General features: G+C 39.6%; 1 protein-coding gene across 6 annotated transcripts in view; it reads left to right on the forward strand.

Annotated features, from left to right (window-relative positions):
* AFF2 (ALF transcription elongation factor 2) overlaps positions 1 to 14,213 on the forward strand; it is a 500,047-nt gene that overhangs the window by 327,763 nt on the left and 158,071 nt on the right. For 2 of the 6 annotated variants that reach the window (NM_002025.4, NM_001169123.2), the window contains exon 5: positions 9,268 to 9,354. The exons of the other annotated variants lie outside the window; for them this stretch is intronic. In NM_002025.4, the coding sequence (NP_002016.2) occupies positions 9,268 to 9,354 (87 nt within the window). The remainder of the gene's footprint in view (positions 1 to 9,267; positions 9,355 to 14,213) is intronic. 6 annotated transcript variants of the gene reach the window in all.

Raw genomic sequence — 14,213 nt, forward strand, 5'->3', positions numbered from 1 at the left:
CTTACATTTCTAAGCTTTGATATTGTGTTAATTTTGCCTGTACCAAACAAGGCAAACAATTCAGTGTTGTTCAATCTGATAACATTTCCTAGTGGGGTGTTCAGTCTTCTATTCTGACTGGTTCAACCTAATTTAGACAAAGACAAAGGTCTTAATAAAGATTAAAATTTACAAGGCAATCGTGTTTAGGGAATCAAATACCATTAGTTGGATGGGCCGTGGCCTGAGGTTGCTGCTGCTGAAACCTTTTGCTGAACTAAAAAGGTCTGGTTGAATTCTGCCCAGTATATCACTATAGTGTTCTGTTCCCTTGTATTTACCTTTGGAGACCTTTCTTTGCAGTGTTTGAATGTAGAATGCCCGAGGAGTAACTGGGCCAAAAAAAGTTGCATGAATAGGCCCTGCACATGGTCATATATGTTCCTGTTGTATTCAGTGGGTGAAATGGAATTGATTGCATCTGGCAATGGCAAGAAGATGGCTTGATTGATTGCCTGATTGAGTACACAGTGGAGATTCAGAATACTGATCACTATACTTCCCAATTGTACATTATAATTAGGGCTCTTTTTCAATGGAACCCTGGTTTGGGGGCTGCCAGGATGAAGGCAGCCAATGTGAGCTGAACTTTTTGCATGTACAGATTCTCCTCCTGGATCCGAAGGAGAATATTTCCAGATTCCCTTAAACAACTGCCAGCACTAAAGAGTTTGAATACAGAATTCCATTATTTATTTGAAGAAACATCGCCAGGGTTTTTATACCATGCCATTTAAATCATAAGTTAGTGTTAGAAACTTTTAAAAGAATTGCATTTTGCATTGACCCATTGTTATGCCATGGCCAAGAAGTTATGTTTAATGTAACCGTTGATTTTACACTTCCTCTCTATGAGCACTTGCATGGAAATCAGAGGAGCAATCTCAGGAGACTGTCTTAACAGCATTCCAAATAGAAGAATATTCATTCAATTGAATGGAACAGAGTTTTGACCACTAGAAAAGCTTGGCAGGAATGGCTAGTGATCAAGCCTAGGAAAGTCTATGGTTCCACTGTTGTTAGATTTTCTAAGAGTTCAGCAAACAATCAGACAAATTGGGCTGTTAGCTGTCTCACTGTGAGACAATAGGCTCCCCTCAGCATGTTTCCCCCACCCCATCCCTGGGAGAATGACAAATTTCCTTAGTCAATTTAGTCAGCCGTGTTTATATGTCATGCAAAACAACTGCTCCAGATTCAGTTTTGCATCTTCTCATATATATCTTTGACTTTACAGAAGTAAAGTGTATGATTATCTGATTAGGTAAAGCAGTACAGATGATTCACAACACCCACTCCGCCACCTTTTAGGAATCCCTTTTCACTGCTCTAGGCAGAGGACATTTCGCCTTCAGAGATGAACTGCTCACTGCCTTCTAAGACAGTAGGCTCCATGATTGGAAACCTCAAATGATTGGAAATTCTTTAGTAGTTTGAGCTAAAATTGGTCCCCTGATAACTTTACCCATACAGCCAGTCCTAAACTCTTGGTCCACAAAGCAGGTCTCAAATCTCTTTCATGTGAAAGACTTTCATGGATTTAAAGACACTCCTCACTCTCCCTTTTCTGTGGACTAAACTTTCCCTGTTTCTTTAATGTCTATGTATACATGAGATGAGCTTTCCAAGCTCTTACCATTCAGATAGCTGTCCCTTAGAGGTATTGCAGTATTCCCATGCCCCCACTGAGATGGGACATCCAGGAGAGCACTCTGAGAGGGCCCTGAGAGGAAAAAGATCAGTAGTTCTTCCCACATGCCCTACTTCCCTCTAAGGGAATTTCGTTTGGAACAGCCAAGCTCCCTGACCCTGAGCAAAGGGCCCCTGTCCTTCCGAAGCCTGCCTGAGGGGGCCTAGTAGGAGAAACAGGTAAGTTCCTGTGTCTGTAGAGGCTGCACAGCAGCCTGGCTACATTCTGGCACACCACACTGGGAGCAGCAGCCTGTGCAGATCACATCCAGCCCCCTGAATCCTTTTACAAATGGCTGTGTGGCTCCCTCCATGGGCCCATCTATTGGGGGAACCTGCCCCCAATAATTCATCATTATTTCACATAGGTTCTTTTCTATTTCCGTAAGTGTCGGCCTGTCTGAGAAATAAAGGGAAAGAGTACAAAGAGAGAAGTTTTTAAAGCTGGGTGTCTGGGGCAGACATCACATGTCGGCAGGTTCCGTGATGCCCCCCAAACTGCAAAACCAGCAAGTTTTTATTAGTTATTTTCAAAAGAGGAGGGAGTGTACAAATAGGGTGTGGGTCACAGAGATCACATGCTTCACAAGGTAATAAAATGTCACAAGGCAAATGGAGGCAGGGCGAGATCACAGGACCAGGGTGAAATTAAAATTACTATGAAGTTTCGGGCATGCATTGTCATTGATAACATCTTATCAGGTGACAGGGTTTGAGAGCAGACAACTGGTCTGACCAAAATTTATTAAGCGGGAATTTCCTCATCCTAATAAGCCTGGGAGCGCTATGGGAGACCCGGGCTTATTTCATTCCTTATCTACAACTGTAAAAAAAAAAGACAGACTTTCCCAAAGAGGCCATTTTAGAGGCCTCCCCTTGGGAATGCATTCTCCTTCTCAGGGATGTTCCTTGCTGAGAAAAAGAATTCAGTGATATTTTCCTATTTGCTTTTGAAAGAAGAGAAATATGGCTCTGTTGCACCCGGCCCACAGGTGGCCAGACTTTAAGGTTATCTCCCTTGTTCCTTGAACATCGCTGTTATCCTGTTCTTTTTTCAAGGTGCCCAGATTTCATATTGTTCAAACACACATGCTCTACAAACAATTTGCTCAGTTAACGCAATCATCACAGGGTCCTGAGGCGACATTCATCCTCAGCTTACGAAGATGACAGGATTAAGAGATTAAAGTAAAGACAGGCATAGGAAATCACAAGAGTATTGATTGGGGAAGTGATAAATGTCCATTAAATCTTCACAATTTACGTTCAGAGACTGCAGTAAAGACAGGCATAAGAAATTATAAAAGTATTAATTTGGGGAACTAATAAATGTCCATGAAATCTTCACAATTTATGTTCTTCTGCCATGGCTTCAGCTGGTCCCTCCATTTGGGGTCCCTGACTTCCCACAACACCCATCTTAACCCTACTCCTGCTATTGTTGTCCATTTCCTATTAACACCCCCACTGCTGCTGCAGATAAGGGTGCTAATGCCCTGCCTGGCTTTGCTCTCCTATCAGGGAGGAGCAGAGCATCCTACAGGCTGGTTAGCAATTGATAGCAGATTGAAGGTCAAGGAAGGATTTGTTTGCTGTTCTCCTGAACCCTAGCCCCAGGGCAGCCCTTTCTAGGCATCCTAAGGGCACTTGCGCCTTATTCCCTTGCATCCTGGTGCTTAGCTGCTTCATTCCCCCTTTTCTGGCTCCTCACAGAACTGTCAGGAACCATGGATACAAAGGGTCTAAATCATTCATTCAAACAAATTAGGTTTTTCTGGTAAGTCATTAACACCTCCTCTATACACACACACATACACACACACACATATGTGTTTTTGTAAATGCATAAGGACCTTTAGATAAAGAAACAGATTCAGCAGTCTAATAACAAGACCTCACTCACATAAATGTTTTCAGGTTTAATTTAGTTTTGGTGACGGAAAGATGCTGATGTTTCTTCATCCTTAGTCTGTGGTGATTTGTAAAGCTACTCAGTAGGATACCTTTTGGGAGTACACTATCTGTAAAGCAAAACTAAAAAATAAAAGAAGAAAGGAAAAGAAAAACTGAAGGAAGGAAGGAGGGAGGAAGGAAGGAAGCAAGGAAGGGAGGGCCCCTCCAATGGAAGTCAGACACCAAGGTTAGTTACCATGACTCAGTTACCATGACTTGTGAGTCATTTACTTCTGATTTCCTGTGAAAATATTGATAAACTTGAACCCGATTTTGCAGATGTATTCTTCTATTCAACCATATTTTTATTTGAGCCACTCAGCTATTCACGCTTATTCTTAATCACAAGAATTTGTGAATACTTCCAAAATTGCATTTATTACGTTCTTGGTATTTTAGTAGAGGGAAGGGAGAAAGGTGTATGCAAGCTCCATCTTGAGCCTTGGGCAGATCCCAAGCTGCCTGGTTGCTAAGCCAAGGCATGCAGGCTCATACTGACAATGCCATAGCCATACCTGTGGGGCTGGTAGCAATGAGCTTTGAATGTGTACAACACTATATGGTTTACAAAGCCCTTACACAATTATTCATTTGCTTCCCCTTATGCCAAGCCTGTGAGGTAGGCAGAACAGGTAGAATCAGAGATGAACGGTATTGCTAACTGGGAGAACTAGAAGCCATCCAAGTCAAAGCCCACATGTTGTAAGCAGGAAAGCTGAGGCCCAGAATGGACAAGCAACTTGACCAGGGCCACCCACATAGCTTTTGGCAGAGCTAGGCTTGAGTTAAGTTCTCCCTATCTTAATACTTAGTCCATGTTGCTTTTGGGGCTCTCTCTGACTATAACAACAACAATGAAATATGTGAACTATCATCATCATTTGCATTCATTAAGGTGGTCATTTGAAAAATCGCCCTAATCATCTCTTCAGTTTGAGCTCTTTTACAGTAAGTACCTTAATATTTATGCTTAACCTAAACACACTATTTGAGCAGCTACTATGTGCCAAGTATAATGATAGCCTGTAAAAGGGATACACACACACACTCGCACACACATAAACACACATGTGTGTTCAAAAACACTGCTCCTCTCACTTCAACTATTGAAGCCTTTTCCAAATGCCTAGCACAGTGACTTTCCCCACCACCTTATTCTCTGCACCTTTGCTCATTCCCCTCTCAAGGTGATTCGCATGTCAGGCAGTGAACGCTTCAAAAAGAGGTCCTTGACTTTATCATTTCCATGTCCTAGTGACTGGCTTATAATGGCTACACACGCCTGTAATCCCAGCACTTTGGGAGGCTGAGGCAGACTGATCACAAGGTCAGGAGTTTGAGACTAGCCTGGCCAATATGGTGAAACCCTGTCTCTACTAAAAAATACAAAAATTAGCCTAGCATGGTGGCACGCACCTGTAGTCCCAGCTACTTGGGAGGCTGAGGCAGGAGAATCGCTGGAACCTGGGAGGCACAGGTTGCAGTGAGCCAATATGGCGCCACTGCACTCCAGCCTGGGTGACAGAGTGAGACGCTGTCTCAAAAAAAAAAAAAATAAAAAATAAAAAATTAGTAGAACAAATGCAAAGAATCCACCAAACAGATCTGCCATTTGCTGTGTGACCTTGGACAAGTCACTTTACCTCTTTGTGCTTCAATTCCTTGTCTGTGAAAAGGGTGTGAGGCTAATCCCTGCCTGTTTAGTTTCTGGTACAAAAAGACCAACCAATTACTTACTACACACTAGGCAGGAGAGATACAAAGGTGAATAAGGTGAGGCTTGTGACAACATACTAGTTACTTGAGATAACAGCTATTCAGGTAGCTGTGTGTTAGATGAGTACAGGATCCATTTGAGATTAGCAAAGCCTGGAACACAGACTGTCTTCTGTCCTTCAGCCTGTGGCATACCCAGCTTTCGTGTCTAAATTGGGCAAAGCAAGGATACCTGCAAGTGGTTTTGGATTTGTTTTGAGTCCTAGCCATGAGCTATTGTTTGGATAATATGGTGGAAAATTGAGCCTTTTGTGATTTTGTGGGGTTTGACTTTGGAGTCTTCATATCACATTAATATAAGTGTCTTCCTATTATTAGAAGTTATGTAGAATGCTCTATCACTTATGAAATCCATTCTTTGCCAAATACTAAAAGATAAAACAGTATTCCTTAGTCTTTTCTTCATTATCCATGTTAGTCAGTCTTACAGAGGGAGACATATTTGTTATAGTGGAAAGTGTGCACTCTTGTACCAGTAATCAAACTTCACTTGCTACTAAATGTAAGGCTGTGTATAAGTGACCTCACCTCTTGGAACCCCCATTACCTCAGTTGCCCGTTGGGAATATGAATCCCTGCTTTCTGTCTCTCTCTGTCTCTCTCTCAAAGGATCAAAGGATCCCAAACATAAAGCAGTGCTTCCTTGTGGAAGTTCAGACCAGTCTCAGATGTGTGTGTGTGTGTGTGTGTGTGTGTGTGTGTGTGTGTGTGTATGTAACTTATTTTTGTTAAAAGAGAAGTGATTCTTGGTGTTGTGTACAGGTACTCATCATTGGATCCTGTTATAAAGCTGTGGCAACATTTTGGGAGCAGGGGCTCATCCCTACCTGATGACTGGGTGAAGGATTAGTAAAGTTGGGTAAGAATGCATAGGTGTCTTATCTTAGGAATAGCAAGAACATAAACTAGATTAATATCCTTCAAGTGTTAATGAAAAGGATAACAATGGAATATCTGCTGTGAGTGTGCCACACTTTACAAGTCTAATTCATTTTGAGAAGTGAAAGAGCTTGCTTGCTCCAAAGTCCTTTGAGGAAGATATTCTTTCAGGAAATTATATTCCTTTCAACTACATCCTGCCTACTGTAATCAAATGCATCAGTGGTAACATGGACTCAGTGTGCTGTTTCATGAAATTTCACATTTTCAAATACAGTTTGAAATCAGTTGTAATTGAAAATGTAGAAGTTTGTGCAGTTCCATGTGGATTAGCTAACAGGGCAGTGCACTCCACTGGTAATTCAAGATAATCAGATTCTGCCTCCGAGTAAATACAGAAAACCTAGGGGAAAAGGTACACTTTTGAGAAGTGACTTTATTCTTCCCGGTGTCTGAAACACCTTTTAATAAACCCAGAGGCACACCTCTAAAATCAGTGGTGAAAGGGGATAAAACTAAGCCTCTAATCAATTTAGGCATACCCAGTAGTTGCTGAAAACAGACAACACTCCTTTTTCTGGAAGAGACTTACCTGCTGTTTTATTGACTCTGGCTAAATATGAACTATATTTTATTTATTTTGAGAAAAAAATTATTTTAATTGACAAAAATTGTACATACTTATGGGGTAAAACATGATGTTTTGATATGTATATACATTGTGGAATGATTACATCAAGTTAATTTACATATCCATCACGTCACATACTTTTTTTTTTTTTTTTTTTGAGATGGAGTCTCGCTCTGTCACCAGGATGGAGTGCAGTGGCACAATCTTGACACACTGCAACCTCCACCTCCCAGGTTCAAGCGATTCTCCTGCCTCAGCCTCCCGAGTAGCTGGGACTATAGGCGCGCACCACCATGCCCAACTAATTTTTGTATTTTTAGTAGAGACGGGGTTTCACTATGTTGGCCAGGATGGTCTCGATCTCTTGACCTCGTGATCCACCCACCTCGGGCTCCCAAAGTGTTGGAATTACAGGCCACCATACCCAGTCCACCTCACATACTTTTTTTATGGTGAGAACATTCAAACTCTGTCTTAGCAATTTTCAAGTATACAGTACATTATTACTATTAATAACTATAGTCACCATGTTATGCAACCGATCTTCAGAACTTACTCCTTCAAACTGAAACTTTGTACTCTTATACCAACAGCTCCCCCATCCCAAGCTATATATTTTAAATGATCTGACTATTTTGGAGACCAGTCTTAATCAGGAAAAACCATCTAAATTGTAAAAGAGATCACTGAGTATTTTTAAAACTCAGAGTAATTAGAATTACTGTTGTCACATATATTTACTTTGCAGCCAGTTTTGATGAATACATGAGTAGGATTTGTCATGAATGTTATCAACTGGATACAAATGCACAACTCAAAAACACTTGGAAGTAGTCTATCTCTTAAGTAGGTTAAGCATCTCCTCTAAATTGTGTATGCATTTTTAATGTAGTTACCTCCTCCTTTTTAAATAGTGCTAGGTAAAATTCAATCTTTGTCAGAATAATACTTACAAATTCTGCTTCAGCAGTGCCACTGTGAATGAATCTGTGAAGTATCTCCTTGCATTACAGCTCTTCATACATCAAAGACTCTTTTTGAACTGAGTAATTATAGAAGGAAAAAAACCTTGTTTTAGTGCTACCTGAGAGTTCTTATTAATATTACCTTTGAAATGACTAATTATGTTACTTATAAAGACTGGAAAAAAACAAGTATTATGTAACTTACTCATTAAAAAAGACTTTCATAAATTTTGATCCCCTCCATCCTTCCCCAAATCCCTACTTTATTTCTATCATGACTTTTTTTTTAATGCTTAATGGTTCTATATGAAAATGATGACTCCAACACATGCTGACTCCCTCCTGCTTCACAAAACTTATCATCTTTCTGTTGCTGGGATTTTGAGCATGTGATTCAATTATCCTTGCTCTTAGCGTAAAGCATGTTGGCCACATGCCCTAAGACTCAAGTAAGATTTGAACAGCACCTCTTTCAAACTGAGTATTTGAAAGAGCTGAGAGGGTGTCCCTGCTGATAACACAGGGTGGGAGCCTAAGGGGCTTTTCCTGTTTTGAGACTTGAACTCACAGATACACTGTCTATGTGTATGGCTGTGTGGAACCGAGCTACCAATCACATAGTAACCTTCTCTATGAATGAGAAAGAATTCCCCTCAGCGGCTTCATCTTTGCATGGAAAAACCCACAGTATGTGCATCATGGGTCACTAACTGTTGGGCTGTATCAAGAGAAGATGAGTATCAGAAGGCAGCGACAGTACTGTCCTCCCTTGAGCTGACAGATCACACGTGGAACAGGATACCATGAGTTACAAGAGCCCCAGGCAATCTGGAGTTCCTCCTGGAAGCACCAACAATAGTGACAGTGTACAGAAATTGAGCATTAGAAGAAAAGTTGAAGGTTCCCAATAAATGAATGAACAAGCTGAGAATGTCTCAGCCTGGAGAAGAGACGATGCCAGGGGATAGGATTACTATCTTCCAACAACTGAAGGCTTGTCATTCAAAAGAAGGAGAAGATGCATTCTGTGCAGCTCCAAAGTACAGTCTATAAGTAGAAGTTCCTGGGGGACAAGTTTTTAACTCACAAAAAAGGAAGAATAGCCTGATGATGCTGTCTCAACATGGAGCAGGCTACTTCAAGCAGTAGCAAGCTCCCTGTCACTGGCAGTTTGCAAGCATCTGCTGGATGGTCCAAATGACTTTAAATTCACCTTAAGTATTAGGTCAGTTAAGTTAAGTTAGTATTTATAAAGGACCTACACTGTTTAGTGCTAAGAAAGGGCTTGATTTTTTAATTGCCCTGAAATAAAGTTTCTTTATTTTTCCTCATTAGGAGATGACCCATTCCTGGCCTACTCCTCTCACTTCCATGCATACTGCTGGACACTCTGAGCAGAGCACCTTTTCCATCCCAGGACAGGTCAGTTCTCTTCCTTCCTGCATTTTTGTTTGTCTTATTTTAATTATACCAATCTTCCAACTGGATTCTCAGTGGCAAAAATGGCCTTGGTCTTCTAGTGCCATAAAATCTAGACTCTCTTGCCCCTCAGAATAGCAATATAAAAATAATTTTTATTGAAAGTGAGTCTTTAAAACAAAATACACACAGATACCGGCATGCGTGTCTTACTCCATAGGGTGTTGCCACTGTCCAAGTCGCTGTGCCTAGAACAGATGAGACAGAGATTGAATAACTCATCCCTTAAGAAATATCAAATAGATGATGGAACAGCAACGTTCAAGATTTTAAAGTTACAAAACCTGTACTCTTTAATGAACTGATTTTCATTTTTATCACCTTCCAGTTCTTGCTCACAAGCAGACAGATCTTTACAAAACACCACATCACACTGACAGAGCTTTATCTTCTACAGTTCTATTGTCAAATGTTTAATATTATTTTTATTTACCTTCTCTCAGCAAGAGTTGCTTTATTGCCATCACTTTTTAAAATGTCTAGACATGGCTATTCTAACATACTTTAAAAATATATATAATGTCTTCCTTTCTTCCTCCATTCCTTTCTTCCTTCCATCCATTTATTCAGAAATCATTTACTGAGAAGATACAGTGGGCTTAAAGGTAGGGGTGAAGAAAAACCGTCTACATGCTATCACATAGATCACAAAACAATGTAGTAAATGTCTTCATAGAGAAGACAAGACTCAGAGTCGTATCTAACACTCCCCTGGGGAGTTGAGGAAGTGCTCACCACTGAGGTGGAAACATTTAGGGGATGATTAAGACTCTGACAGGTGAAGAAGGGGCCAAGAGAAGAATACCGCATGCATAAGACTAGTGTGAGCAAGGTCATGAGAGATGAGGGATCATGCTGTAGTGCATGGTGATATAAGGTCTCAAGTGGCAGGATTAAAGTTTGTGTGATGGGGAGTGGAAAGAGAGGAAACCTGGGCAAATAGGTGCATATTTGGAAAACGCCTTGGATACCACCTCAAGGAGTTTGGACTTTATTTGTAGAAGGAGAAACACCCAAAGGAGAAACCCTTAGATTTTAGGGTCATGATTTTGAAAGTAACACTGATCTAAACTTTGCTTAATGATCTTCCTTCACCTATGAAAGAGGTCAGAACTAAACGAACAGCTAATCTCACTGTCCCAGTATGGGTGTGTGCTATTCCTTTTTGCATTCACACCCACCCTTTTTAGGCTTCTGTTCTCCTTCCCCCTGGCATCTCCAGCAAAGGGAGTTATCCATCCAGTTCAGGTCCAACACTTGTACAGCAATTGCAGTGTTTTCAGGTGGGTTCTCCAGTTTTGAAGATAATTTGTGCAAGTTGCAATTTTGACATTTGCAAGTGTATACAATAGAACTGTTGTTTAAATGGGCTTTTATAGTTAAGTGCACACTTTGAAATCAGGCACAGTTTGCATTTTCTGCCAATTATCTGTGCTACCATCAACCCCATGACAAAGGTAGAAGCAAGTGGACTAAAATGGTGAAAGCAAGAAGTCTACACACCCACTCCTGTCTCATTTGATTCCTGCCAAAACGTTGGTTTGAAAGAAAAGTACACTTTAAATAACAACCAACACATACAATGGCACCATGTGCCTCACGTCATTCTAAGCACTTAATATATAGTAAATAATTTAATCCCCACTACAACCCAAAGAGATTGGTAATTTTACTACCCCAGTTTACAGAGGAGGAAACATGGTAGTTAAGTAATGTGCTCAGGATTATCCAGTTAATAAATAAGGGAACCAGTACTTAGATCCAGGTGTTCCTGGCACCAGCGGTCATACTGTCTCTCTGTATATCTTTTATCACACAGGCCCACTGATGCCCCAGTTCAAATTCTATCTTCCAAAACATGGCCATCCCTATATGTAACAAAGGTGATTTCCCTTTCCTCAGTGCTTCCACCAGAATTAGGTGACAGCATCCTTTCAGAAAGCATCAGTTTCTTACATCCATGACAGAGCTTGCCCAGAGGAAAGAGTGCTGTCTTAAGAGCTGCCTTCCCAGCTGCTTTTAATCCTGGCACTGCCATTTGCTTGCTGTGTGGTCCTGTTCAAGTTCCTCTAAACCTCTGTTTCCCCATCTGTGTTGGGGCATGGTGTGTGTGTGTGTGTGTGTGTGTGTGTGTGTGTGTGTGTGTATGTGTATACACTATATAATCCCAATGGATTTTCTAGGTAAAATAGTTGATGATTCTGTAAGCTTACTAAAACAAATACAGTTGAAAATTCTCAACTTACTTAAGCTTACTTATCAGTTTCAAATTGAAAATGCCATGTTTTCTCATAGACGATGAAAAACCTCACAAGGAAGGGAGTAAGTGCATGCCAAGTAGAATTGAGAGAATAATCATATCCTCAGGAGAAGTTTAATAAAGTTTTCCTGGAGGTAAACATCCTCTAGAACAGAGGTTGGCAAACTATGGCCCATAGGTTTTTACATCTTTAAAGGGTTAACATTTTCAAAAGAAAAATAACATGTTATTATGAATAATATTCACATGAGTGTGGAATTCAAATGTCAGTGTCTATAAATCAAGCTTTCTTGGAACCCAGTCACACCCACTTATTTACGCATTGTCCATGACTGCTTTCACACTACAATGGCAGAGTCCAGTTAATTATGACAAAGATGGTATGTCTCCCAATGCCTAAAACATCTACTGTCTGGCCCTTTGCAGGAAAAGTTAGCTGACCCTTGCTCTATAATCTAGATCCTTTAGGAACTTCTGATTTTAGGATTATTGTCAAGGCTATTGCTTAAAAGAACCTCATATAAGTTTGTGAAAAGAACTTGGCATCATTATATTCTACTGCAAAAATTACATATATGACATGTCTATGAAAGAAATGCATAAAGCAAAGTCAGGCATTTAAAATAAATTTGTATTATTTGTTGTGCATTAACAATTACTGTGAGAACTGTGCAGATTATTTCTACAACCAAGCTATTTCCAACTGGGGCTGGATATGTATGTAAAGTAACTTTGGTGATATACAAAGGAGTTTCATTTGTTTTGATTTGATTTGTAGTTTAAGAAATGTGAAATCCAATGCATAATGATCAAAACATCATATGTACCTCATAAACATTTACACCTACTATGTACCAAAAAATTAAAAATTAAAAAATAAAGTAAAAAGAAGTGTGAAATTCAGTTTAACATTAAAAATTGTATCAAGAATAAATATCAGTTACTCCAATTCAGTGAATAACACAATCTTCCAGTTTGCTGTATGCATTGTTGCACTGATGGTCTGGAAGAACTGATTGTTTAGGTGTAAAGTCCAAAACATTTGGAGGAAGGTTAAAAATTCAGGCATAAGACCAGTACAAAGACGGCCTGCATGTTTTACTCTCTGATCAGATATTTGGCTTAATTGACTTTGGAACTTGTCATTTAATTTCCTGGAGGTATACAAGCCCAAACTCATCCTGTACCTTTGTAATGAAATCCCTTAAATAGTAACAGATAAAAATACTTGTATATAGTTACAGAGATATACATGGTTAACAAGTCATTTATTTGACACTCTGGAAAATGAGATGTTCTGGATAATTAAAATTATTGGATAACTGAAGGTTATTATTCTATAGGAATCATGCAGTATAAATTATTTTGAAGTGTAATTAATATTTTCCTGACTTCTTTTAAAGATTATATCAAGCATGCTTTACTCTTTCTTGATAACTTATATATTATGATGAGTGTAAGTTATTGTAGTATGTGTAATATTATACTATGCTGCAATTATGTTCTCAGGGTCTATTAAGACAGGTGGGAATGCTTGCCTCTATATTAAATGACTGTAGATTCTTGTGCTTTTTAAGTTCAGACTTTTCTGTGTCATTTTTGTGGGCTCCTTTGCTATTGGTTTTCACCTGTCAATTTTCTCAGTGCCTGTGCCTCTAGAACTATTTCCCCTTCCTTGCCATCTGTGATTTGAAAATGAGTGGGAATCATTTGAGTCCTTTGTCAAAAGACAGTTCTCTACCAGGGAGAGCACAGAAGCCTCTGAGCAGCAAACTATATGGGCTTTGTGACAGACAGTTCTTTCTCTAAGAGGCCTTTTCTGCCTCTTGTTGAGTTTGTGGTAATCTTCTGGAGTGGTGATCTTGCCAGAAGACAAATCTCTTGAGCAACAGAATCATACTAAATAGATGGGAAATTTCACTTTTGATTAAAGCAAAGTGTTATAGTTCTTGCTTACTTTTTATAAAAGATAATGCTGTGAGCCTAGTTTTCATCTACAGAGGGTCAATATTAGGCTTAATAAATAGATTACTTGGAACAATGATTGATATAACTAATTCTTGTATTTACTTGAATTCATTGTCTCCAGTTTCTGGAATGCCTGTATTGCGGTTTGTACCATTTCTCTTCCATCCACACAGTGCCATGTGTGCCCTGAACGTTACTGTAATGCTTTTGCCTTCAAGTTTTGTCAGTATCCACACAGGTGTGCCACACTCCAAGCAAGGCAGCATGTGCAAATCTGGATTTCTCAAAACAGTGAATGAATTGTGTATAGTGTGACTTTCAAATCAAATTTAAATTCCTTTAAATAACACAGTCCACTAACATTTCACATTGCTTTCTATACTTCGACAGACTTGCAATGTAGTTTTAAGAACACTTCTTATATATAAAATGAGGTACATCTGTGCACATGTGTCATAGAAAGTTGGATCTGTTTCTATAAAAGGGAAAAACTGGGCAGATCTATTAATTATCATTTTGTTTACAGTTTTACAAAAAACATGATCATCTGTTTGAACCAAGTCCTCTTTATTCT

This window comes from Homo sapiens, chromosome X, assembly GCF_000001405.40.
Source record: "Homo sapiens chromosome X, GRCh38.p14 Primary Assembly".
Taxonomy (NCBI): Eukaryota; Metazoa; Chordata; class Mammalia; order Primates; family Hominidae; genus Homo; species Homo sapiens.